Below are 23005 nucleotides of genomic sequence, written 5' to 3' on the forward strand. Positions count from 1 at the left end.
CAAGCCTCATAGGCAGAAAACCCTTCATGAAAGCATAGTGGTCAAGAGCCACGGGCTCTGGGGCCAGACGGCCTGTGCTTGCTCGAATTCCAGGTTCACACCAGTAACTTGTAAGTTATGTGACCTTGGGCAAGTTACTCAACCCTCATATGCCTCAGTTTTCTCATTTGTCAAATGGAGACAATAATAGTACCTAATTCATACTATTATTATGAAAATAAATGACTAATATAAGCCTGGCATGCAGTGTGCTCTAGAGCATTAGCTGCTAATATTATCTCTGCCACCAAAGGCTTTAGCCAAGACTGCCTTCAAAAGCAGTGTTTGTGGGGTGGTAGTGTTCTAGAAAAGGTAATGTTTCCTTTTTTTTTTTTTTTTTTTTTTTGAGAAGGGGGTCTGATTCTGTCACCCAAGCTGGAGTGCAGTGGTGGTGCAACCACGGCTTATTGCAGCCTCGACCTCCCAGGCTCAAGCCATCCTCCCATCTCAGCCTCCTGAGTGGCTTGACTATAGGCATGCACCACCACACCTGGCTAATTTTTGTATTTTTAAATTTTTTATTTTTATCATTATTTTTGAGATGGGGTCTCACTCTGTTGCCCAGGCTGGAGTGCAGTGGCACAATTTCAGCTCACTGCAACCTTTGCCTCCCAGGTTCAAGCGATTCTCCTGCCTCAGCCTCCCAAGTAGCAGGGACTACAGGCGCACACCACCACGCCCAGCTAACTTTTGTATTTTTAGTAGAGATGGGGTTTTGCCATGTTGGCCAGACTGGTCTCAAACTCCTGACCTCAGGTGATCCACCTGCCTTGGCCTTCCAAAGTGCTAGGATTACAGGCATGAGCCACCATGCCTGGCCAGAAATTGGACACTTTATTTATTTATTTATTTTTGAGACGGAATCTCGCTCTGTTGCCCAGGCTGGAGTGCAGTGGTGCAATCTCAGTCCCCTGCAACCTCCACCTCCCGGGTTCAAGCAATTCTCCTGCCTTAGCTTCCCAAGTAGTTGGGGCTACAGGCACCTGCCACCATGTCCAGCTAATTTTTGTATTTTTAGTACAGACGGGGTTTCACCATATTGGCCAGGCTGGTCTCGAATTCCTGACCTTGTGATCCGCCTGCCTTGGCCTCCCAAAATGCTGGGATTACAGGTGTGAGCCACCGTGCCCGACCAATTGTACACTTTAAATTGGTGAATTTTGTGTTGTGTTAATGATATCTCAATATTTTTTGAAATGCCAACAGGGAACAAATCATCATTAGTGAAACAGCTCTTGTTCAGATTAGTAAGTAGAGCTCCAGTCCTGAGCTTTTAGTAAACAATTGTGAGCCCCAGTGATTCCACGTGGTCCTGCCCTATGTGTAGAGCCTTGGTTTGCAGCCTTCCCAGAAACAGAAATGCTTCTGGGAAACCACAGCTCCCTACCTGCTGAAGGAAATGGACACCTGAGATAAGCTGAATATATTGTGTGTGTAATCAGAAGGCAGGCAGGCAGGCCGGTTTTCCAGATGAGCCTAAGCTAATGGCTTAAAAGGGTGTTTAAAAGAGAAAGCAGTAGCCTGACTGGTCTGAACTCCTGCCCTGTCAGCAGAAACGGTGCAGTCACAATGAGAAGGGAAAGAGTATTTAACGCTGGTATGAACGGCAAGCCTCTGCCTCCTGATTTAGTTAATAAGCAGTTTTCCTATGGAATTGATTGAGGGGGAGAGAGGTTTTTCTCTTCCTGGCTCCCTTGGTGTGTGCCCTCTCATGTCAGAAGGCAGGAAGTTCTCTGGGAATTCACACCAGAGGTTTTGCCATTATTTAAGCAAATTAAGGCCTTTGGGAACAGCCAGGTGGCCTTTCAGGTTTTGTCAGGGCCAAAAAGCCCTATCACCTGCCAAGGTGTTGAGTCAACTTATTTACAGTGCTCAGAGCCAGTTCCTGTGCTGCTGAAATCCCTGAAGGCCTGCTCTAAATGGGCCTGGTCAGACATCAACACCGCCTGCCTCATCAGCACTTTTAGCCTTCCACCTGCAGTGCGGGCTTGACTGAGATGCCCCAGTGGCTTGTCCTGGGAAAACTGCTCCCATCTGTAAGCTGCCACCCTCCTTTGGTGACTTTGCCTCTCTCTGCCTCTTTACTCCCTGCACAGAGGGGCAAAGAGGCACATCCTCCAGGGAGGCAGGGCTAGGTGGAAGTTAAGGTGATGGGCTTTGGGGTCCGGCAGGCCTGAGTTCAATTCCCAGCTCTGCTGTGTGCTGTTATAGCTACGTGGCCTTGGGCAAATCCCTTACCACTGTGAGTATTGCTTTATTCACCTGTGAAATGGGAGTAACACGGTACCTACCTTCTAGGCTGTTGTGAAGATTAACTGCAATTCTGCATGGTGCTTCTGATAGGGTCAGTAACTGAGGGGTTGGCCGGGCACGATGGCTCACACCTGTAATCCCAGCACTTTGGGAGGCCGAGCAGGCAGGAGGATCACAAAGTCAAGAGATCGAGACCATCCTGGCCAACATGATGAAACCTCGTCTCTACTAAAAATACAAAAATTAATTGGGCATGGTGGCACATGCCTGTAGTCCCAGCTACTCGGGAGGCTGAGAAGAATTGCGTGAACCTGGGAGGTGGAGGTGACAGTGAGCCAAGATCACACCACTGCACTCCAGCCTGGCAACAGATGAGTGCTGGGGGTGTTGGAGGGAGGCTGGAGAATGAAAGGGAGGCAACTGAGGCCACAGTGTCTGGCTGTTTCCAATCCCCCCATCCCCAGCTGAAACCCTCTCATCTGCAGATAACTCCAAGACACTCCTTACTTCTCCCAGAATAAAAGCCCGGCTCTCTACAATGAGGCTCCAGCTACGTCTGACTTTGTCACTGACTACCCTTGTGTCACTCGCTCTACTCAGCCACCACCCTGGATTGGCTTCCAACCAAGTTGTGTTTGCTTTTCCCTCTGCCTGAAATGTCCTTCCAAAGGGGACCGTGTGGCTCCCTTCCTCCCTCCTTCCCTCCCTTCCAGCAAGTCTTAGGTCTCAGCTAAAACTGCCTTTGCTCTAAGTCACCTTCATTGCCTTTGACATGGCACACCACTGCCTCCAGCACTCCCTCCTTATCCTTCCTCCCTGTTTATTTTATTTTATTATTTTTTGTTTATTTATTTTGAGACAGAGTCTCCCTTTGTCACCCAGGTTGGAGTGCAGTGGCATGATTTTGGCTCACTGCAACCTGTACCTCCTGGGTTCAAGTGATTCTCTCCTGCCTCAGCCTCCCAAGTAGCTGGGATTACAGGTGTGCACCACCACACCTGGCTAATTTTTGTATTTTTAGTAGAGATAGGGTTTCGCCATGTTGGCCAGGCTGATTTCAAGTGATCTACCCATCTCGACCTCCCAAAGTGCTTGGGATTACGGGCTTCGGCCACCATGCCCAGCACCTGTTCTATTGTTTTCTCTACAGCGTTTACTACCTTATTGTATGTTTTTGGCTAAAGGGCCTTGGAGTCAACCCCAGGAGAACAGTGCTGATGAATCAGGAGTGGCGCTCCCATAACTTCATGCGTCTTCAAAGCTGGCTAGTACTGCACCTCATTCTCGTGATTTCATGCCCACAGTTACCTCCAGGGTGTTGGCTGAGCAGAGCAAGTGACATGAGGGTAGTTGGTGACAAAGTCAGAAGTAGCTGAGGCCTCACTGTAGAGAGCTGGGCTTTTATTCTGGGAAAAGTGAGTCTCTGGAGGGCTCTGCATAGAGCAGAGGCTTGTCATGGCCTGACCGAGGTTGTAGCAAGCTCAATGCGGCTACTGTGTAGAGAAGACGCCGTAGCAACCTGGGCCAGAATTGGGAAGATTAAGGAGCTACTGCAATGGTCCAGGAGTCCAGAGATGAATTGAGTCTGTGGGGAAAAAAGTGTCGGCTGACAAGCCGTTCTGTCTCCATGTTCTCCTCTCACCTTTTGACCACCCTGTCCCCACTCCTCAGCTGTGCTTTGTATTTTGTAATTCGCAGCACTCAAAGCACTCACACAGGAGGCCTGACATTATTTATCTGCAGGTCAGAGGGTTTGAGTTGAGGGTGGGGGTATTGGAAACAATTAGGCATTGTGGCCTCAGTTGCCTCCGCTTCATTCTCCACCCTCCTCCACACACCCGCAGCACTCATTTTAACCCCTCAGTATGTCTTTTACTTTTTCCTTCCTTTTTAGAGTTAGGGTCTCACTCTGTCATCCAGGCTGGTGTGCAATGGTGTGATCACGGCTAGTTGCAGCCTTGACCTCCTGGGCTCAAGCAATTAACTCCACCTCAGCCTGCCCAGTAATTGGGACTACAGGAGCATGCCACTACACCTGGCTAATTTTTTCTTTTTTTAGAGATGGGGTCTTGCCATGTTGCCCAGGTTGGTGTCGAACTCCTGAGCTCAAGCAATCCATCCCCCTTGGCCTCCCAAAGTGCGGGGATAACAGGCATGCAACACCATGCCCGGCCAATTTTTTAATTTTCTTTATTGACAGGGTCTCACTATGTTGCCCAGGCTGATCTCAAACTCCTGGACTCGAGTGATCTCCCTGCCTTAGCCAAACTGCTGGGATTACAGGCCTGAGCAATCATGCCGGGCCCCCTCAGTATATCTTTAATCCCTTTGGGATCTGAGACTCTTTGAGAGACTGTTGAAGACCACAGAGCCTCCCACAGGTGCCCATATCTTAACCCACAGTTCCAGGGGGCCCATGCCTTCCTTGATGCCCTTCACTAGCCCAAACCTTGGCTCAAATCCTAGGCACTCACTGCTAAGGCCTCAAGGAGGGGGTCAGAAAAACAAAACCGCAGCCCAGGAAACTCCTTTCATGGCCACAGAGATGTTTCCAGATGGCCTGAGAAGGGAGTGGTTGGTGTGGGCAGCTGCTGTTCCCCATGGTATCAAATCTTTGATCAAGAGGGGTGGAAAAGGATTGACTTTCTCAAGTTCAGGGCTTCCTTCTGGCTCCACAGGCACCCCCCACAGGCAAGGGACCACCACACCCAAAGGCAGGAGTGGCCAATCCTGAGGGCGTGGACGGGGGCCACAGGGAGGCAGTCCACACCCTCAGGATTTGACCCTACAGGGAAGGCCCTGGGGATGTTGCCCTGTCCCAGGAACCTGCACACCCACCTTGGGGGCACTGCCTCTCCTTAGGGTGACCTCAGAGGCAGTTGCAGAAGTTTCGAGTTCTGCAAAAGCCATCTGTGGCAGAACAGGAGCGGCAGCTTACCACATACAAACTCTTCAAATGTTCCCACCAACTGTGACAGGTGGGGGCCACTCTGTAGTTGAAGAGGAAACTAAGACTCAAGCGTTTAACTTTCCTGAAGTTAACACAGCTAGTCAGAGGCACAGTTTGCATTCAAGTCCACATCTATCTAGACTCCAGGCCTAAGCGCTGACCGTTAGTGCTCTATGAGGCAGCACCTGGTAAAGCCACCTGTGCTTTGAGGGGGCGTTCAGGAGGCTACAGCCTAGTTCTGTGTAGGGTCAGATTATCTTGTTCTTTCTTCTCTCCGCTGGCCCACATCTTACCCTCTGGTGCCATTGTGACCGATCCTTCGCAAAGGAGTCAGCCCTAGAATTGTTGACAGTGAGCCCGTTTCCTGCCCCTCACCCCACACAGGGTTCCTTCCCATCCTTGCCCCTCCGTCCCTGGACCAGCTCCATGGGTCAGTGTTCCTCTTAGAGCATGACTCTTGGAAAAAAAACAGCACTTATCATTGAGGTCATCAGATTGCAACCCTGAGAATGTACTTATCAAACCACAAATAGAATCAGAGAAGGACTATATAGTCTCCCATATCCTAAGTGTCTCATTTCTGAAAACACAACTGAAATCTGGTTTTGGAAGCCACATCACATGTTGCCTATTGAGATTACGGTCAACTGAACACCCATCCCTCCTTTGGTTCAACCCTCTCATTAAAGAAAAGAAAAAGGGCCGGGAGTGGTGGCTCACTCCTGTAATCCTGGCACTTTGGGAGGCCGAGGCAGGCAGATATCCTGAGCTCAGGAGTTCGAGACCAGCCTGGGTAACATGGCGAAACCCCGTCTCTACTAAAAATACAAAAATTAGCCAGGCATGGTGGCACATGCCTGTAATCCCAGCTACTCAGGAGGCTGAGGCACGAGAATCGCTTGAACCCAGGAGGTGAAGGTTGCAGTGAGCTAAGATGATGCCACTGCACTCCAGCCTAGGTGACAGAGTATCTCAAAAAAAAAAAAAAAAGAAAAAAGAAAAAAAGAAAAAAAAGTTTGTTTATGTGAACATAGGAAAACAAACACAAGCCAATTTAAATGGTACCTAAGAGCCTAAAAGTGTCTGCCTGTCAGCAGTTCATCTGAGACAAGCAGTGTTACCGATTTCTTGTTTCCTTCTGAAGATATTCTAAGCCTATTCCCTATCCCATTTAGCTGTGTGCTCTTTAAAGACAGATTCTTCCCATATTATTACATATACACTTACTTGATTCTTTTTTAAACAGCTCCCTCATTCTTTTTATTTTATTTATTTTTTTTGAGATAGAGTCTCGCTCTGTCACCCAGGCTGGAGTGTAGTGGCATGATCTGGACTCACTGCAACCCTCACCTCCCGGGTTCAAGCAATTCTCAAGCCTCAGCCTCCCTTGTAGCTGGGACTACAGGCACCTACCACCACGCCTGGCTAATTTTTGTATTTTTAGTAGAGATGGAGTTTCACCATGTTGGCCAGGCTGGTCCTGAACTCCTGACCTCAAGCAATCTACCCACCTCGGCCTCCCAAAGTGCTGGGATTTAGGCATGAGCCACCGTGCCCAGCCCTTCATGATTTTTAATTTTTGCATCATTTTCCATTGAGTGGATGCCCATCATTGATTTATCCAGCCCTCTGTCAATGATGTGTCTATCTTTTGCCACCATAAACAAGATTGTAGTGGCCCTCCGTATATCTGCCCTGATGCAATGTGTGAGTCCCTCTGTGAGATGAAGTCCTAAAAATGGGCTTTGCTGAAAGAAAGGATTTATGCATGTAAAATCTATAAACATGATCAGAATGTTCTCTTAAAAAGCCATACTGATTCCTACTTGCCATGATGTCCAAGGCCTTGGAGCCCCACATCTTTGCTGGTACAGTTCCGCCTCTGTGCATTACAGATGATAAAACGAACCCAGAAAAAATGCAGGGGTCTTGCCTGACATTCTCCAGAGAGAATCTGGTCATCTGACTCTGGTCAACTGACATCCAGCATTTTTTTTTTGCTAGACCAGCTGACCAGCATCCGCCGGCAGCACCCCCTTCCCTCTCCCATCATGTGTGGGTCATCCTCCTTTCCACCGCCCACATGGACCCCTCCCTCTGGTCTCCTGCATCCTGCATGGTGTTGGTTATGTGAACAAGTTCTTTAGTGGTGATTTCTGAGATTTTGGTGCACCCATGATTGGAGCAGTGTACACTGTACCTGTGTACACTGTGTAGTCTTTTATCCCTCACCCCCTTCCCACCCTTTCCCCCAAAGTCCCCAAAGTCCATTGTATCTTTTTATGCCTTTGGATCCTCATAGCTTAGCTCCCACTTATGAGTGAGAACATACAATATTTGGTTTTCCATTCCTGAGTTACTTCACTTAGAATACTAATCTCCAGTTCCATTCTTTTTTTTTTTTTAACAGCTTATAAGTTCCTAGGTCCAGTGTTTCCTGTCTCTAATCCCAGTTTCTCAGGAGGGTGAGGCGGGAGCAGGCCCCTCCTACCCTCCTGTTCGGTCATTTTAGCAGATGACTTTCACCCTCATGCCTTTTGCACTGTGATTGCAAGAAGGGATTATTTTTAACTTTATGAATAGGTTATATGTTCACATGGACACCATTGAAAAAAAAATAATCTAAAAAGTATACAATGAAAAGTTCTACTCCCACCCTGTCTCCCTTTGTTCTAATAAGGTGCCTCCCCCATACCTAAAATCTCACTTGTTAGTGTCTTTTAAAGTTCTATATGTAACTATAAACAAATATGAACATATATTCTTTGAGACAGAGTCTTGTTCTTTTTTTCTTTGAGATGGAGTCTTGCTCTGTTGCCCAGGCTGGAGTACAGTGGCGCGATCTCGGCTCACTGCAACCTCTGCCTCCCAGAATCAAGCGATTCTCCTCCCTCAGCCTCCCAAGAAGCTGAGACTACAGGCATGCACTACCATGCCCAGCTAAGTTTTGTATTTTTAGTAGAGACACGGTTTTACCATGTTGGCCAGGCTGGTCTCCAACTCCTGACCTCAAGCGATCCACCCACCTCAGCTTCCCAAAGTGCTGGGATTATAGGCGTGAGCCACTATGCCTGACCAAGACAGAGTCTTGTTCTGTGGCTCAGGCTGGAGTGCTGTTGTGCAGTCGTGGCTCACTGCAGACTCAAACTCCTGGGTTTAAGTGATCCTCCCACCTCAGCCTCCCAAAATGCTGGGATTACAGGGATAAACTTATTTCTTATCCCCTTCTTTTTAGTTACACAAAAGATAGCACTGCTTTGCACTTGCTTTTATCAGCAAACAATAATGTGTCTTGACGATCATTCCCCTGCAGAGCATAAAGAGCTTTTTTTTTTTTAATAGGTTCATAGTATTTCATTGTAAGGAAATTCTATAATTGATTTAAACTAATCCTCTATTGATGGCTATTTGGGCTGTCGCCCATGTTTTGCTAGCACAAACAATGCCTTAGTGAATAACCTTTTACATACGTCATTTTTGTGTGCAAGCTTTCCAGTTTCACATCGGAAAATGGGAACAGTCCAGGTAAATGGCCCATGGAGCATTTCTGCAAGAGCAGCAACCAGGAAAATAAAAGGCTGGAGAACCACTGCTGGAACAGGTGCCCCATCTCCTTGTGGTGGTAGCAACAGTACCACAGCATCTTGTGAGTGACCTGTGGCTGTTCTCCAGTGTATGCCAGAGTCAGATTCTGGCACCTGTGGGTCACTCTTCTTCATGCTCTTTTCTTTTCTTATTATTTTTGCCTACTTGGAATTCTTTTTTTTTCAAATTTGAGACAGAGTCTTGCTCTGTCGCCCAGGCCGGAGTGCAGTGATGCGATATTGGCTCACTGCAACCTCTTCATCCTGGGTTCAAGCGATTCTCCTGCCTCAGCCTCCCAAGTAGCTGGGATTACAGGTGCCCGCCACCATGCCTGGCTTGTTTTTGTATTTTTAGTAGAGACAGGGTTTCACCATGATGGTCAGGCTGGTCTCGAACCCCTGATCTCTGGCGATCCACATGCCTTGGCCTCCCAAAGTGCGGGGATTACAGGGTTGAGCCTGCACCTGACCCTACTTGGAATTCTTGAAGTGAGCCCCCCAGTCTGAGATCTTTCTGCTTTCTTTTTTTTTTTTTCTTTTTTTTTTTTTTTTTTTGGTATTCAGGAGGATGCAGCATGGGTTGTAGGCTTCATTTCTCAGGAGCCTGAGCCAAGGCACACATATAGTCTGAGCAGTTACCTTTCCAGGCAGCCAGAGTAGATTCAGCAAATGCTCTTGGAAGCAGCTGCCTTTCCCATCAATGCTTATTTGTTCTTGATAATGAAAAATGATGCTAGCATCCATTAAAAGAGAAAAGGCATCCTCTTGTGAGCTCTATTGGACAAGTGAGCACTTGTTGTACAGTCATCTGCAAGCACATGTGACCTGGAGACTGTGGGAAATGCCTCACTTCGCAGTGTTGGCTCCCAGCTGTTCTCTTGGGCTGTTTGAGTTTTGTTCCAAAGGTCAGAGGCAGAGGGTCCGAGCCTTTCCAGCACAGCCCACATTTGAAAGTAGTGCAAGCCTCACATTCATTCTTTGTAGAAGGTTTCCAGATCTTGTTCTTGAGTTATTGAATGATTCAAAGGTTCTGAATTCCACAACGGCTTTCCTGTGTTTTTGCAGCCAGATTCAGCACATTTTGGTGTCAGCCAGTGCTTGGAAAATGTGGCCCTAGATTGATGCGTGTTTATATCTGGGTTGTGTTTTTTATAGAGAATAAATCTGTGGTTACTTTTACCCATCCCACATTGCTGTTAACTACCCCTGGAATTTCTCTCCCTCCGCAAGCCTAGTGCTGAAGAACAGAAGCTTTGGTGCTGGCTGGTTCTGGGGCGAATGTTCCTTCAGAGGCTGACCTGCTCTGTGACCTTGACAAGGCCCTGACCTTGAGCAAATGACTTAAGCCTTTCGCCTCAGTTGCTCATCAGCATTAAGGGGGTTAAAAACCCCTACCTGCCTCACAGCAACATAGGAGTCAATGTAAAGTTCACAGTGCCCACACGTAATGACTGTCATAGTGAATATTTACTCTCAAAAAGATTTTTTGTTTTCAGTTTTTAGTTGTTGATTTTTTTTTTTTTTAAATAGAGATGGGATCCTACTATGTTGCCCAGGCTGGTCTCAAACTCCTGGCCTCAAGTGATCCTCCCACCTCAGCCTCCCAAAGTGCTGGGATTACAGGTGTGAACCACCATGCCCAGCCTATAACTATTGTTTTGTTTTGTTTTGTTTTTTGGAGATAGAGTCTTGCTTTATCATCCAGGCTGGAGTGCAATGGTGCAATCTCAGCTCACTGCAACCTCTGCCTCCTGGGTTCAAGCAGTTCTCCCACTTCAGCCTCCCAAGTAGCTGGGATTATAGACACCCACCACCACGCCCGGCTAATTTTTTTTTTTTTTTTTTTGAGACAGTTTCACTCTTGTTGCCCAGGCTGGAGTACAATGGCATGATCTTGGCTCACCGCAACCTCCGCCTCCTGGGTTCAAGCAATTCTCCTGCCTCAGCCTCCTGAATAGCTGGGATTATAGGCATGTGCCACCACGCCCCGCTAATTTTTTGTATTTTTAGTAGAGACGAGGTTTCACCATGTTGGCCAGGCCTGTCTTAAACTCCTGACCTCAAGTGATTCGCCCTCCTTGGCCTCCCAAAGTGCTGGGATTACAGGTGTGAGCCACCGCACCCAGCCTACTGTTAATTAAGAATTGTTTATGGCTTCTCTTCTCTGCACTTTTTCATAACCTTGGCATTTTTGGGTGCCTGGATTCTTTCATTTTTGAACCATAGGACTTTGACTGATGGGGTATTCCTCAAGAGACCCTAATAGCTATATATTTCTTACTGGTTCATTGAGATTTAATTTACATACCACACAATTTACCCACTGTAAGTGTACAGTTAGATAATTTTTATAAACGTACACAGCTGTTGAGCTGTCATCACAATCCAGTTTTAGAATACTTCCACCACCTCCCAAGTTCCCTTGGGCCTATTGGTAGTCAAGCCTAACTCAGCTCCAGACAACCCTTGATCTGCTTTTTGTCTCTAGTTTTCTAGATTTTTCATATGAACTGTGTACTTTGGTGAACAGCTTCTTTCACTCGGTGTAATGCTTTTAAGGTTCATCTATGCTACTGCGTTTTGTGATGTTTGATCCTTTTTATTGCTGAGTAGCTATACCATATTTTACCCATCCTAATTACTTTTTGGGTTGACTGTATATAAGCCACATTTACACATTTTTTTAAATGGGTAAATGTGAAATAAGAAGAAAGTTGGGGCTGGGCATGGTGGCTCACGCCTGTAATCTCAACACTTTTGGAGGCCGAGACGGGTGGATCACAAGATCAGGAGTTCAAGACCAGCCTGACCAACATGGAGAAACCCCATCTCTCCTAAAAAAAACAAAAAACAAAAATTAGCTGGGTATGGTGGCGGGCACCTGTAATCCCAGCTGCTTGGGAGGCTGAGGCAGGAGAGTCACTTGAACGCAGGAGGCGGAGGTTGCGGTAATCTGAGGTCATGCCACTGCACTCCAGCCTGGGTGACAGAGCAAGACTCTGTCTCAAAAAATGAATGAATAAATAAAAGAAAGTTGGACAGGAAGATCCGTTCTCACTGTGTCACCCAAGCTGGAGTGCAGTGGCCCGAACATGATTCTCTGCAGCCTTGACGTCCCCAGCTCAAGTGATCCTCCTACCTCAGCCCTCCCAAATAATGGGGACTACAGGTGCATGCCACCATGCCCAGCTAATTTTTTTTTGTATTTTTTGTAGAGATGGGCTCTCCCCATGTTGCCCAGGCTGGTCTTGACGGGACTTGGACTCAAGTGATCCGCCCACTTCAGCCTCCCCAAAGTGCTGGGATTATAGGTGTGAGCCACCGCACCTGGCCAGGTGTTTAAAAATAGAATAATGTCCAGAACCTAATTTTGGAGAACAGGATGTAAAGGGATGCAGGACAAGGGAGTAAATGAATTAGGAAAGGGATATAGACCAGGATCTGAAGGACACATATCAGGTGTTAGCAGTGGTCTCTCTGCAAGGATGGGCTTGTGAATACTTTGTGCGATTGGCTCATCTTTTTTTTTTTTTTGTAACAGCTTTATCGAAACATAATCCACATAGCATATATTACACCATTTAAAGTGTAGAATTTAACAGTTTCCCTTATAGTCACAGACTTAAGCAAGCGTCACCACAATCAATTTCATAACATTTTCATCACCTCCAGAAGAAATCCCTCACTCCTTAGTTGCTACTGCCCCAGCCCTGGACATCTGGATTCAGTTAGTCTGAGGCAGGGGCCCTGGCTGAGTATTTTTAAAAAGTGCCCCAGGAGGCTGGGCCCGGTGGCTCATGCCTGTAATCCCAGCACTTTGGGAGGCTGAGGCGGGCGGATCACATGATGTTGGGAGTTCGAGACCTGCCCGACCAACATGGAGAAACCCCATCTCTAAAACTACAAAATTAACCGGGCATGGTGGCGCATGCCTGTAATCCCATCTACTCGGGAGGCTGAGGCAGGAGAATCACTTGAACCCGGGAGGCAGAGGTTGCCGTGAGCCAAGATCACACCATTGCACTCCAGCCTGGGCAACAAGAGCAAAACTCCATCTCAAAAACAAAAACAAAAACAAAAAACCCAGGAAAGTCTCTGTGCAGCACATTAGACCCTGAATGGAAATGATGTTAGGAGGCATTTTGGTGCATGCTTTATTTCACCAGTCGGAATGTAAGCCTTACCAATGTCTGTGAGGGCCCAGGACTTGTTCTCCCACATCTCAGGCCTGTCAGCTGCCCTTTCCTGCACGGGGCATCAGGGAGAGAGAGGAGGAGGGATTTAGTAGCTTTGGAATTCAGTACATGGGGTCTCCCTAACCTCGGGGAATCCAACAGAAAGAAAAAGGAGGAAGAAAATGTGATGATTTTCTTTTTAATCAGTAAGCAAACAGTTCCTAGAGTTGCCCAACCTGACCACAGGAATGTTTCCTGGGTTGCAGTCCATGAAAATGATCAGTTACGGCCTCTGTTTCGGCAGACAGGCTGTGTTGTTACGCATGCAGCCACAGCTGGGACAAGAAAGCCCCTCCAATTTGCTGTGAACCCAGAGGGCCTCCCCATTCTCCTTATTCTTTTTGAGAAAATCAAACGCATTTCCCTCCCTAAGACAGGTGGGGAAGCAGTCCCCCTCCAGCCTCCGCCTCTGCAGGAGGCCTAATGTCGCTGCCAACTCCTTGCTAGAATGGAGATGAGTTGTTTTTCTCCCCTCTTCTTGAAAACAAATTGAGATGAGATTCCTTGCCAGTTGGTGTTGACTCTGGAAAATTGAAACCAAGCAGTTGGTTTTGACTTGAGCAGAGAAGCAACCCCAGCTTCTCCAGTCAAGGCAGCAGATACCAATCCAGGCAGGAATATTGAGATGAAACTGAGTGAGGCTGTTAATCAATGGGCACACTGGCTGTTGCTGTCCTCTCTGGGAGAGGCCTGGAAAGAAAAATGATTTAAAACTAAGTTCCCTTCTGGCCTTGTTGTCAAGAAGGGTATGGGGTATGGGGAGGCAATGAGGCAATCTGGCCCGCAGGAGCAAGAGCTAACCTTTCTCATAGGCCTGTGCTAAAATCATGTTAATTCCACTTGAATGTTGGCCCCCGGGTGGGCAGGAGTGGTTATCTGTTGTGATTGTGGCTGGATCTTCAGTACTAGAACAGGCTGCCCCCATGCAGGAGGTATGCACACAGTAGGTGTGCAGGCTTTGAGTAGACCTTGGAACTGTTCCCCCGCACTGCCGCCTGCTCTCTCCCTTACTTCAGCACACAGCTCCAAGCTGGGGCAGTCTCTTTCACTTCCCTTTATTCCCTAATATGCCCTAATATTCCCTAATGTCCTTTATTTAGTGAGTTGTCCTGCCTGTCACATAAAGCCCTTGGAAATTCCTTACCTGCTTATATTTCTCTATTACACTTTTCATTCCTGATACTTTTTTTCGTTTTCTTTCTTTTTGGAGATAGCATCTCAATCTGTCGCCCAGGCTGGAGTGCAGTGGCACAGTTACAGCTCACTGCAGCCTCGACCTCCTGTGCTCAGGTGATCCTCCTGCCTCAGCCTCCTAAATAGCTGGGACTATAGACACGCGCCACCACACCCAGCTAATTTTTAATTTTTTGTAGAGTTGGGGTCTTGCCATGTTGCTCAGGCTAGTCTTGAATTCCTGGGCCCAAGTGATCCTCTCACCTCGGCCTCCCAAAGTGCTGGGATTACAGGCATGAGCCACCATGATTACTTATTGATTTACTTGTTAATTATCTCTTTGACATTGAAATGAAAGCCCCATGAGGTCAGGGACTTTGCTTTGTCCATTGCTGTATTTCTCAGGCCTTAGGATGATGCTTGACAAAGAGAGTAAGGGCTCGCTAAAGATTTACTGGAGGAAGAATCCTTGAAGCAATCCCTCAAAGGAGGTGGGGACGTCTGCCTATGTATTTTGTTTGTTTATTTTTTTGAGATGGAGTCTCTCTCTGTTGCCCAGGCTGGAGTGCAGTGGCGTGATCTCAGCTCACTGCAACCTCCACCTCCCAGGTTCAAGCAATTCTCCTGCCTTACTCTCCCAAGTGGCTGAGATTACAGGTGCCCACCACCATGCCCAGCTTAAATTTTGAATTTTTGTAGAGATTGGGTTTCACCATGTTGGTCAGGCTGGTCTCAAACTCCTGACCTCAGGTGATCCATCTGCCTCAGCCTCCCAAAGTGCTGTGATTACAGGCATGAGGCACCACACCCGGCCTAAACACTGACTTTTTTTTTTTTTTTTGAGATGGAGTCTTGCTCTGTCGCCCAGGCTGGAGGGCAGTGGCGCAATCTTGACTCACTGCAACCTCCGCCTCCCAGGTTCAAGCAATTCTCCTGCCTCAGCCTCCCGAGTAGCTGGGATTACAGGCATGCGCCACCACGCCTGGCTAATTTTTGTATTTTTGGTAGAGACAGAGTTTCACCATGTGGACCAGGCTGGTCTTGAACTCCTGACCTCAAGTGTTCCACCCACCTCCCAAAGGGCTGGGATTATAGGCGTGAGCCAGTACGCCCTGCGACACTGACTTTTAATCAATTCCAGAAGCGCCATTCATGACCCTTCCCCCCGGGCTGGTTCTGATCAACACCCATGGCGTTTGCCGTCAGAGAAGGAAACAGCATTTGTCCAAGCAGAACCATGGTTGGGAAAGCAAAAAGACACCCTTTGCCAGTGTGACCAAGTCGCTTGAGTAATCTTAAACAAAGGGAAAAAGTCAAGGGCGATGGCTTACACCTTTAGCCTTGTTTCTCCCACTTCAGAAAGTAAAGGGTAAAGGGTCCTGGGCTAATTTTTCCTTAATCTTCAATGTCACTGTTTTCTCTCTCCACCCCCGTCTGCTTTGATGGGGACAGAAGCCAAGGGGACTTTGCTCCCTGCTTCCCATCCAGGCAGCGTTCGTTGTTGACATCTGTTTTCAGGGTGTAGCTCAGTGAAGACAGAGACGATACATAATTTGTTCTGGGCACATATGTTTGGGGGACGTTAGAAGGAACTTGATAAGCTTCATGCAAATAAACTTCCAGTCCCTGGGAACCCATGGGGGTCGCCTGTCAACAGGGGTGCAGGAGCCGCAGCTGCCACCCTGAGAGCACATTGCATGGATGTTGTGGGCACGTTAAGAGTCATGCTTGTGCAACGTGATACTCCAACCTGCTTATCTTCCCTGGAAAAATGTTGTGGTTGACGTTGGCAGTTTAGAGGAACTTTGACTTATTTCAGCTTATGCAAAGTGGTAACATACAGCGAGACCTTTTTGAAACTGGAGTATAGTGTGGCTGTTGGAATATCCTTAGGTTTCTCTGAGGCCTGGAACTGGATTTCCAAGGCTCAATTTTCATCCAAGAAGAGAGGGAGTGTGTATAATGATGCTTTTGCCGTTATTCTCATTCAAGTTACTCTCCAACTGTCCTATTCTTTTGTGAGAACTAACTTCTCAGATCCATTCAGCTAGCAGGCTTGTGAATGGCTCATCAGTACTAACAGACAGGCTGCCTGGTGAGTCCTGGCGGCTAAGTAGCATCAGACTACAGCTTCCGTCACTTCATAGCTATGGAACTTGGTTAAGTTCCTTCTCTGTTTCCCCATTTATAGGAAAGGGATGCTGGCCAGGCGCAGTGGCTCATACCTGTAATCCCAGCACTTGGGGAGGCCAAGGCGGATGGATCACCTGAGGCCAGGAGTTTAGGACCAGCCTGACCAAGAGGTGAAACCTCGTCTCTAGTGAAAAAATACAAAATTAGCTGGGCATGGTGGCGCATGCCTGTAATCCCAACTACTTGGGAGGCTGAGGCAGGAGAATCCCTCGAACCCGGGAGGCAGGAGGCTGAGGCAGCAGAATCCCTTGAACCTGGGAGGCAGAAGTTGCAGTGAACTGAGATTGCACCATTGCACTCCAGTGTGGGCAACAGAGCAAGACTCTGTCTCAAAAAAAAAAAAAAAAAAAAAGTGGGAGGATGCTAAAATCCCTACCACACAGGACTGCTCTATCTAATAAGGACATAGACTGTTGTTGTTGTCCATAGTTTTGTTTTTGTTTTTGTTTTTTGATACAAGGTCTCACTCTGTTGCCCAGGCTGACTGCAGTGGTGCCATCACAGCTCACCGCAGCCTCGACCTCCTGGGCTCAAGCAAACCTCTTGTCTCAGCCTCCCGAGTAGCTGGGACTACAGGCACACACCACTGCTCCCAGCTAATTTTTGACTTTTTGAGTTTTTTATAGAGACACGGTCTTGCTATATTGCCTAGGGTGGTCTCAAACTCCTGGACACAAGCAGTCCTCTTGCCTCTGCCTCCCGAAGTGTTGGGTTACAGGCATGAGCCACCATACCTGGCCGTGTCCATTAGCTCTTAGTAGCAAATGGACACACAACATTAGAGACTTATCATCAAGTGAGAGTCAGTGTTCCTGGTGGAACTTGAATGTCCTTTTCAACATGCCCTAAGTGTGGACAAACTGGAGGCCTAATTGTTCTTTCCTTTGCATTTTTATTTTTAAAAATTTGTTATTTTAATTTTTATTACTATAATTTTAGAGATGGGGTCTTACTTTGTCACCTAGGGTGGAGTGTGGTGGTACAATCATAGCACACTGCAGCCTCCAACTCCTGGGCTCAAGCAACCCTTCTGCCTCAGCCTCTCTAATATCTAGGACTACAGGTGCACCAACATGCCGGGCTAACTTTTTTTTTTTTTTTTTTTGAGATGGAGTCTCGCTCAGTCGCCCAGGCTGGAGTGCAGTGGCACGATCTTGGCTCACTGCAAGCTCCGACTCCCAGGTTCACACCATTCTCCTGCCTCAGCCTCCCGAGTAGCTGGGACTACAGGCGCCCACCACCATGCCCAGCTATTTTTTTTTTTTTGTATTTTTAGTAGAGACGGGGTTTCACCGTGTTAGCCAGGATGGTCTCGATCTCCTGACCTTGTGATCCACCCGTCTCGGCCTCCCATAGTGCTGGGATTACAGGCGTGAGCCACCGCACCTGGCCAACCGGGCTAACTTTTTAGATTTTCTTTTTTTGGTAGAAAATGAGGTTTCACTATGTTGCTCAGGCTAGTCTTGCATTTGTAAACATAAAATTAACATTTTCTGCTGAGTATGAATGCTCAATAAACCTGTAATGTTACTGATTTCATGAATACTCATTAAAAGAACACATGCCAGAATCCCCAGTGTCATCTAAGAAAATAGCCTGGAAGGAGATCTTATAGGCAGCAGTATCTGTGGAGATGGAGTTAGAAACACTGTCCCTAACCAGCAAAAAGAAAAATGCCTAACTAGCTGAATGAGGCTGTCTCCCCAGGATTCCTTTCATCCATCAAGTTAGATTTCTTTTTTTTTATTTTTATTTTAAGAGATGGGGTCTTACTATGTTGCCCAGGCTAGTCTCAAACTCCTGGGCTCAAGTGATCCTCCTGCCTTGGCTTCGCAAAATGGTGAGATTACAGGTATGAGCCACCATGCCTGGCTAGTTCTCTGATTTTTTTGTTTGTTTGTTTGTTTTTGAGATGGAGTCTTTTTTGCTCTGTCACCTACACTGGAGCGCAATGGTGCAATCTCTGCTCACTGCAACCTCTGCCTCCTGTGTTCGAGCAATTCTCCTGTCCTGGCCTTCTGAGTAGCTGGGATTACAGGTGCCCGCCACCATGCCTGGCTAATTTTTTGTATTTTCAGTAGAGACGGGGTTTCACCATGTTGACCAGGCTGGTCTTGAACTCCTGACCTCAGGTGATCCACCTGGCTCGGCCTCCCAAAGTGCTGGGATTACAGGCATGAGCCACCATGCCCAGCCAGTTCTCTGATCTTGTCCTCCAGTTTTTATGTGTAACTGAGGCTGAGCTCTCAAGTTCAAATGGTCTTTGAATAAAGCTAAATGCAGGCCGGGTGCGGTGGCTTATGCCTGTAATCCCAGCACTTTGGGCGGCCAAGGCAGGCGGATCACAAGGTCAGGAGTTCGAGGTTATCCTGGCCAACATAGTGAAACCCCGTCTCTACTAAAAATACAAAAGATTAGCCGGGCGTGGTGGCAGGCACCTGTAATCCCAGCTACTCGGGAGGCTGGGGCAGGAGAATGGCTTGAACCCGGGAGGTGGAGGTTGCAGTGAGTTGAGATCCTGCCATGGCACTCCAGCCCGGGTGACAGTGCGAGACTCTGTCTTTAAAAACAAAAAAAAAAGAATTGCTAAATGCAGTATTCTTTGGTGTTCGCTGTGGGAAATGTGTTCTGATGAGAGGGAGGCAATCCATAATGTGCCCCTTTGTATGCAGGGTGGGCAAAACACTGCTTCCAACTAGTTACGTCTAAGATACTAGGTTATCCCACTGGTTACCAAACAACTCAACTATGGTTTGCTGCCTTCCATAGCTGGCCCTGTCCTTAAATCCCAACATCGTCTGAAAATAATATAGAAGCTTTTGAGACTGTCTTGTTTCTACCCACTCACATTCCAGTTATGGGACCAGGCGGGCGTGGGAGAAGAAACGGGATCGTCAAAGTGGGACTGTTCCGTGTGGCATGATGGCAATTTCAAGCAAGGAATGTTGCTGAATGCTCAGAGCCTGCCCCAGGACCAAAAGCTTTTCATGAACTTGGGTTTCATTTGTATTTGAACATCAGTCATCTCTCTTGGGGTCCTCTCTTGAAAGCTACTTTTGCCCAGTAGGCTAGAAAGTGGGGCACCGTAGGTTTAATAGCAGCATGCAGGGATGACAGAGTATTAAAAACACTTTTTAAAAGTCATTCTTACTAGTTTTTGTCATGAAAAAAAAAAGAATTCATTCTAATTGTAACAGGCCAAGTAATACAAGGATATATAAGGAAAATATGTTGTTGTTGTTTTCAAACTGCCTCCTGGCCAGGCACAATACTTGTATCTGTAATCCCAGCACTTTGGGAGGCTGAGGTTGGTGGATCGCTTGAGGCCAGGAGTTCAAGACCAGCCTGGGCAACGTGGCAAAACCCCATCTAGTCCTGTAAACATAAAATTACATTTTTTGCTGAAATACAAAAAATACAAAAATTAGCTGGGTGTGGCAGCACATGCTTAAAATAGAGCATGGCACATTAATATTCTACACATGTTTAAAATACTAATAAAATAGGCCAAGCATGATGGCTCATGCCTGTAATCCCAGAACTTTGGGAGGCTGAGGCAGGTGGATCACCTGAGGTCAGAAGTTCATGACCAGGCTTGGCATCATAGCGAGACCCTGTCCCTACAAACAATAATTAAAAATTTGCTGCGGTGGAGTACACCTGTAGTCTCAGCTACTCTGGAGGATGAGGTGGGAGGATGGTTTGAGCCCAGGAAGCTGAGGCTGCGGTGAGCTAGCGTTTGTGCCACTGCACTTTAGCCTGGGTGACAGAGTAAAACCCTTTCTCAAAAAATTAAAATGAGGCTGGGCTCAGTCATTCACTTCTGTAATCCCAGCACTTTGGGAGGCCAAAGCGGGAAGATGGCTTGAGCCCAGGAGTTTGTGAGCAGCCTGGGCAACGTAGTCAGACCCCATCTCTACAATAAATAAAATTAGCCAGGCATGGTGGCATGTACCTGTAGCCCCAGCTACTCAGGAGGCTGAAGCAGGAGGATTGCTTGAGCCCCGAAAGCCAAGGCTGCAGTGAGCAGTGTTTGCACCACTGCATTCCACCCTAGGTGACAGAGACCTGTCTCAAAAAGCACACAAATAAAATTAAATAAAATCTGAATAAAATAGTTCATAAAAGCTAATTGAAGCTTAGTTGAGGCTGCAGTTTTTGATGATGGTGATGATATTGTAATGAAAAGACTTTCCCAGCTGGGCACAGTGGCTCACACCTATAATCCCAGCAGTTTGGGAGGCAGAGGCGGGCAGATCACTTGAGGTCAGGAGTTCGAGACCAGCCTGGCCAACATGGTGAAACCTTGTCTCTACTAAAAATACAAAAATTAGCTGGGCGTGGTGGTGTGCACCTGTAATCCCCGCTACTCGGGAGGCTGAAGCAGGAGAATTGCTTGAATCTGGGAGGCAGAGGTTGCAGTGAGCCCAGATTGCACCATTGCACTCCAGCCTGGGTGACAGAGTGACACTCTGTCTCAAAAAAAAAAAAGACTTTCCCACATGGAGATGGCCAGTAGTGGGGAGTGGGGTCTTAGCTTCTTTTGTTGGGATTTGGTTTTTACACCAAGTCACCAAATAAGTTTATGAAAGGTGGGCATACTGGGTTAAAGAACACTTAGACCCTTGTTAGCTTTATTTTTGTTAGCTTTTTTTATGGGCATGTTGAAATATACCCAGTCCCCGTATTCTGATCCTCCAGTTTCAACATTTTGCCATTCTTCTTTCCTCCCACTTGCTGGGCTCAGAGACAACCCAGCCCTTGCCAGCGTGACAGTGAGCTTCCCAGAGCCTTTCTGGAGCTGAAGAACCTTTCAATCTTTCCTACAATTTCCTATAATCAGCCCAGGGGATCAGGTTGCATGGGGAGATAATGAGTCTTATGAGCACCTGGAATTCAGGTTGGGGCTCCTCGTCATACTGTCACTTCTCAAAGGGTAGGGCTTAACCACCATTAAGATGAGGTGCCCCAAAGCAGGTTAAGTGCCTTGGATCAAGTTATTTGCAAAACCATTTTCATTTTTTCAGGCCGCCACCCTTGGCAAGTCCAATCATGCTTGTCTCAACTTTCACTGTCTAAATTTGGGAAGGCTGGAGAAAGGAATTCAGTGCAGCCTTCATTCCCTGTTTACATGACAAGCCCCTAAAGATGACCTAGTTGCCCCATTACTTCTGCTGGGGGTGGGGGAGGACTCTTTGAAGAGCATCTGGTTTTGCTAGTTTGAAAAGAAATTCCTATTTTAGACTTAAAAGGATGGTATCTGCCCATCCTTTAAGGACTTGGCATTTCTTCTTGATTCTTTCATCATCTTATGGCTCAGCTGTTCAGTTAACAAACACTTGTCTACCCAAATACACAGGAATAATAGTCATCTCTTCTACTTTCATTGCTTTTTAACTTAGAAAATGTCATCCCATTCACTGTCTTGGTCTTCACAAAACCCTAAAGAGGTAGACTCAAACAGTGGTGATAACCTTTATGTTATAGTAGAGAAGGCCAAGGCCCATAGAGGTTTAGCAATTTGCTAAGGCCACCCAGCAAGAACATGGCAGAATCTGGTTTTATAATCCAGTCGCAGACCCTGGGTCCAGCCCTTTTTCCTTGTCTCTGTCTTCCCATCATTTATTACGGCTCCCCCTGCTCACCCCATCCTTTCCTTCAAGTTGCGGAAGTGAGTTGTAGACCCAGTCTAAGGGCTGAGAAGGTAGGGGTTGGGGCATGGTGGTGATTTTTTATTTTTATTTTTTAAACAAACTGGGAGGGAGGGTCAGGTGGGCGACTCTTTGAATGACACAGCTCCCTTCGTATGAACGAGCTCTTCCTGGTTTCGTTGCTCAGTTTATTTGCCAGGTAGCAGACTCCTAGCTATTGCATGGGGTAGCCTCTGATCTCAGTCTTAGAGATCAAGACTGGAGCTGGAGAACCTTTCAATCTTTCCTATAATTTCCTATAATCAGCCCAGGGGATCAGGTTGCATGAGGAGATAATGAGTCTTATGAGCACCTGGAATTCAGGTTGGGGCTCCCTCTCATACTGTCACTTCTCAAAGGGTAGGGCTTTGAATAGATAGATTATAGGTATAATCTATCTATAAACTAATATAATCTTCCTTTTAAAAATAACCAAGGTTGGGGCCGGGTGTGGTGGCTCATTCATGTAATCCCAGCACTTTGGGAGGCGAGGTGGATGGATCACCTGAGGTCAGGAGTTTGAGACCAGCCTGGACAACATGGTGAAACCCTGTCTCTACTAAAATTACATAAATTATTCAGGTGTGATGGCACATGCCTGTAATCCCAGCTACTCGGGAGGCTGAGGCAGAATTGCTTGAACCCAGGAGGCGGAGGTTTCAGTGAGCCGAGATCGTGCCACTGCACTCCAGCCTCGGCAACAGAGCGAGACTGTCTCAAAAAAAATTAATAGTAATAATAATTAAAAAAAAAAAAAAAACCAAGGTTGGCTGGGCACACTGGCTTATGCCTGTCATCCTAGCACTTTGGAAGGCCGAGGCAGGAAGACTGGTTGAGTCCAGGAGTTCAAGACCAGCCTGGGCAACATAACAAGATCCCATCTCTATG

At 47.2% G+C, this 23005-nt stretch overlaps 1 protein-coding gene across 4 annotated transcripts in view, besides 21 other annotated features; it reads left to right on the forward strand.

The window, feature by feature from the left end:
• The window catches only part of CDH1 (cadherin 1), a 98246-nt gene that overhangs the window by 39881 nt on the left and 35360 nt on the right, over positions 1-23005 (forward strand). The gene's annotated exons all lie outside the window — the stretch shown is intronic.
• Positions 1962-2565: an enhancer, noted in NCBI's record as "NANOG-H3K27ac-H3K4me1 hESC enhancer chr16:68813037-68813640 (GRCh37/hg19 assembly coordinates)". NCBI's record gives its function as "activates a minimal SCP1, AML or CMV promoter by ChIP-STARR-seq in primed H9 embryonic stem cells {active_cell/tissue: H9 hESC(primed)}" and the evidence as "EXISTENCE:reporter gene assay evidence [ECO:0000049][PMID:30033119]".
• Positions 2566-3167: an enhancer, noted in NCBI's record as "H3K27ac-H3K4me1 hESC enhancer chr16:68813641-68814242 (GRCh37/hg19 assembly coordinates)". NCBI's record gives its function as "activates a minimal SCP1, AML or CMV promoter by ChIP-STARR-seq in primed H9 embryonic stem cells {active_cell/tissue: H9 hESC(primed)}" and the evidence as "EXISTENCE:reporter gene assay evidence [ECO:0000049][PMID:30033119]".
• Positions 3169-3313: an enhancer, noted in NCBI's record as "145 bp 16:68814316 sequence used in MPRA reporter constructs". NCBI's record gives its function as "activates a minimal TATA-containing promoter with rs2161664 allelic activity by MPRAs in C283T melanocytes {active_cell/tissue: C283T}" and the evidence as "EXISTENCE:reporter gene assay evidence [ECO:0000049][PMID:36423637]".
• Position 3241: a transcriptional cis regulatory region, noted in NCBI's record as "rs2161664 or 16:68814316 MPRA-significant variant associated with a GWAS melanoma risk locus at 16q22.1". NCBI's record gives its function as "allelic transcriptional activity by MPRAs in C283T melanocytes {active_cell/tissue: C283T}" and the evidence as "EXISTENCE:reporter gene assay evidence [ECO:0000049][PMID:36423637]".
• Positions 3853-3997: an enhancer, noted in NCBI's record as "145 bp 16:68815000 sequence used in MPRA reporter constructs". NCBI's record gives its function as "activates a minimal TATA-containing promoter with rs2113201 allelic activity by MPRAs in C283T melanocytes and UACC903 melanoma cells {active_cell/tissue: C283T | UACC903}" and the evidence as "EXISTENCE:reporter gene assay evidence [ECO:0000049][PMID:36423637]".
• Position 3925: a transcriptional cis regulatory region, noted in NCBI's record as "rs2113201 or 16:68815000 MPRA-significant variant associated with a GWAS melanoma risk locus at 16q22.1". NCBI's record gives its function as "allelic transcriptional activity by MPRAs in C283T melanocytes and UACC903 melanoma cells {active_cell/tissue: C283T | UACC903}" and the evidence as "EXISTENCE:reporter gene assay evidence [ECO:0000049][PMID:36423637]".
• Positions 4843-4942: an enhancer, noted in NCBI's record as "active region_11030". NCBI's record gives its function as "activates an Ori minimal core promoter by ATAC-STARR-seq in GM12878 lymphoblastoid cells {active_cell/tissue: GM12878}" and the evidence as "EXISTENCE:reporter gene assay evidence [ECO:0000049][PMID:35858748]".
• Positions 5453-5572: an enhancer, noted in NCBI's record as "active region_11031". NCBI's record gives its function as "activates an Ori minimal core promoter by ATAC-STARR-seq in GM12878 lymphoblastoid cells {active_cell/tissue: GM12878}" and the evidence as "EXISTENCE:reporter gene assay evidence [ECO:0000049][PMID:35858748]".
• Positions 5603-5792: an enhancer, noted in NCBI's record as "active region_11032". NCBI's record gives its function as "activates an Ori minimal core promoter by ATAC-STARR-seq in GM12878 lymphoblastoid cells {active_cell/tissue: GM12878}" and the evidence as "EXISTENCE:reporter gene assay evidence [ECO:0000049][PMID:35858748]".
• Positions 7098-7242: an enhancer, noted in NCBI's record as "145 bp 16:68818245 sequence used in MPRA reporter constructs". NCBI's record gives its function as "activates a minimal TATA-containing promoter with rs7199991 allelic activity by MPRAs in UACC903 melanoma cells {active_cell/tissue: UACC903}" and the evidence as "EXISTENCE:reporter gene assay evidence [ECO:0000049][PMID:36423637]".
• Position 7170: a transcriptional cis regulatory region, noted in NCBI's record as "rs7199991 or 16:68818245 MPRA-significant variant associated with a GWAS melanoma risk locus at 16q22.1". NCBI's record gives its function as "allelic transcriptional activity by MPRAs in UACC903 melanoma cells {active_cell/tissue: UACC903}" and the evidence as "EXISTENCE:reporter gene assay evidence [ECO:0000049][PMID:36423637]".
• Positions 7563-7707: an enhancer, noted in NCBI's record as "145 bp 16:68818709 sequence used in MPRA reporter constructs". NCBI's record gives its function as "activates a minimal TATA-containing promoter with rs34946816 allelic activity by MPRAs in C283T melanocytes {active_cell/tissue: C283T}" and the evidence as "EXISTENCE:reporter gene assay evidence [ECO:0000049][PMID:36423637]".
• Positions 7635-7647: a transcriptional cis regulatory region, noted in NCBI's record as "rs34946816 or 16:68818709 MPRA-significant variant associated with a GWAS melanoma risk locus at 16q22.1". NCBI's record gives its function as "allelic transcriptional activity by MPRAs in C283T melanocytes {active_cell/tissue: C283T}" and the evidence as "EXISTENCE:reporter gene assay evidence [ECO:0000049][PMID:36423637]".
• Positions 9571-9715: an enhancer, noted in NCBI's record as "145 bp 16:68820718 sequence used in MPRA reporter constructs". NCBI's record gives its function as "activates a minimal TATA-containing promoter with rs9928796 allelic activity by MPRAs in UACC903 melanoma cells {active_cell/tissue: UACC903}" and the evidence as "EXISTENCE:reporter gene assay evidence [ECO:0000049][PMID:36423637]".
• Position 9643: a transcriptional cis regulatory region, noted in NCBI's record as "rs9928796 or 16:68820718 MPRA-significant variant associated with a GWAS melanoma risk locus at 16q22.1". NCBI's record gives its function as "allelic transcriptional activity by MPRAs in UACC903 melanoma cells {active_cell/tissue: UACC903}" and the evidence as "EXISTENCE:reporter gene assay evidence [ECO:0000049][PMID:36423637]".
• Positions 14258-14827: an enhancer, noted in NCBI's record as "OCT4-NANOG-H3K27ac-H3K4me1 hESC enhancer chr16:68825333-68825902 (GRCh37/hg19 assembly coordinates)". NCBI's record gives its function as "activates a minimal SCP1, AML or CMV promoter by ChIP-STARR-seq in naive and primed H9 embryonic stem cells {active_cell/tissue: H9 hESC(naive and primed)}" and the evidence as "EXISTENCE:reporter gene assay evidence [ECO:0000049][PMID:30033119]".
• Positions 14962-15106: an enhancer, noted in NCBI's record as "145 bp 16:68826109 sequence used in MPRA reporter constructs". NCBI's record gives its function as "activates a minimal TATA-containing promoter with rs57688464 allelic activity by MPRAs in UACC903 melanoma cells {active_cell/tissue: UACC903}" and the evidence as "EXISTENCE:reporter gene assay evidence [ECO:0000049][PMID:36423637]".
• Position 15034: a transcriptional cis regulatory region, noted in NCBI's record as "rs57688464 or 16:68826109 MPRA-significant variant associated with a GWAS melanoma risk locus at 16q22.1". NCBI's record gives its function as "allelic transcriptional activity by MPRAs in UACC903 melanoma cells {active_cell/tissue: UACC903}" and the evidence as "EXISTENCE:reporter gene assay evidence [ECO:0000049][PMID:36423637]".
• Positions 16516-17016: an enhancer, noted in NCBI's record as "H3K27ac hESC enhancer chr16:68827591-68828091 (GRCh37/hg19 assembly coordinates)". NCBI's record gives its function as "activates a minimal SCP1, AML or CMV promoter by ChIP-STARR-seq in naive H9 embryonic stem cells {active_cell/tissue: H9 hESC(naive)}" and the evidence as "EXISTENCE:reporter gene assay evidence [ECO:0000049][PMID:30033119]".
• Positions 18033-18533: an enhancer, noted in NCBI's record as "H3K4me1 hESC enhancer chr16:68829108-68829608 (GRCh37/hg19 assembly coordinates)". NCBI's record gives its function as "activates a minimal SCP1, AML or CMV promoter by ChIP-STARR-seq in primed H9 embryonic stem cells {active_cell/tissue: H9 hESC(primed)}" and the evidence as "EXISTENCE:reporter gene assay evidence [ECO:0000049][PMID:30033119]".
• Positions 18534-19034: an enhancer, noted in NCBI's record as "H3K4me1 hESC enhancer chr16:68829609-68830109 (GRCh37/hg19 assembly coordinates)". NCBI's record gives its function as "activates a minimal SCP1, AML or CMV promoter by ChIP-STARR-seq in primed H9 embryonic stem cells {active_cell/tissue: H9 hESC(primed)}" and the evidence as "EXISTENCE:reporter gene assay evidence [ECO:0000049][PMID:30033119]".

This window comes from Homo sapiens, chromosome 16 (assembly GCF_000001405.40).
Source record: "Homo sapiens chromosome 16, GRCh38.p14 Primary Assembly".
NCBI classification, from domain to species: domain Eukaryota; kingdom Metazoa; phylum Chordata; class Mammalia; order Primates; family Hominidae; genus Homo; species Homo sapiens.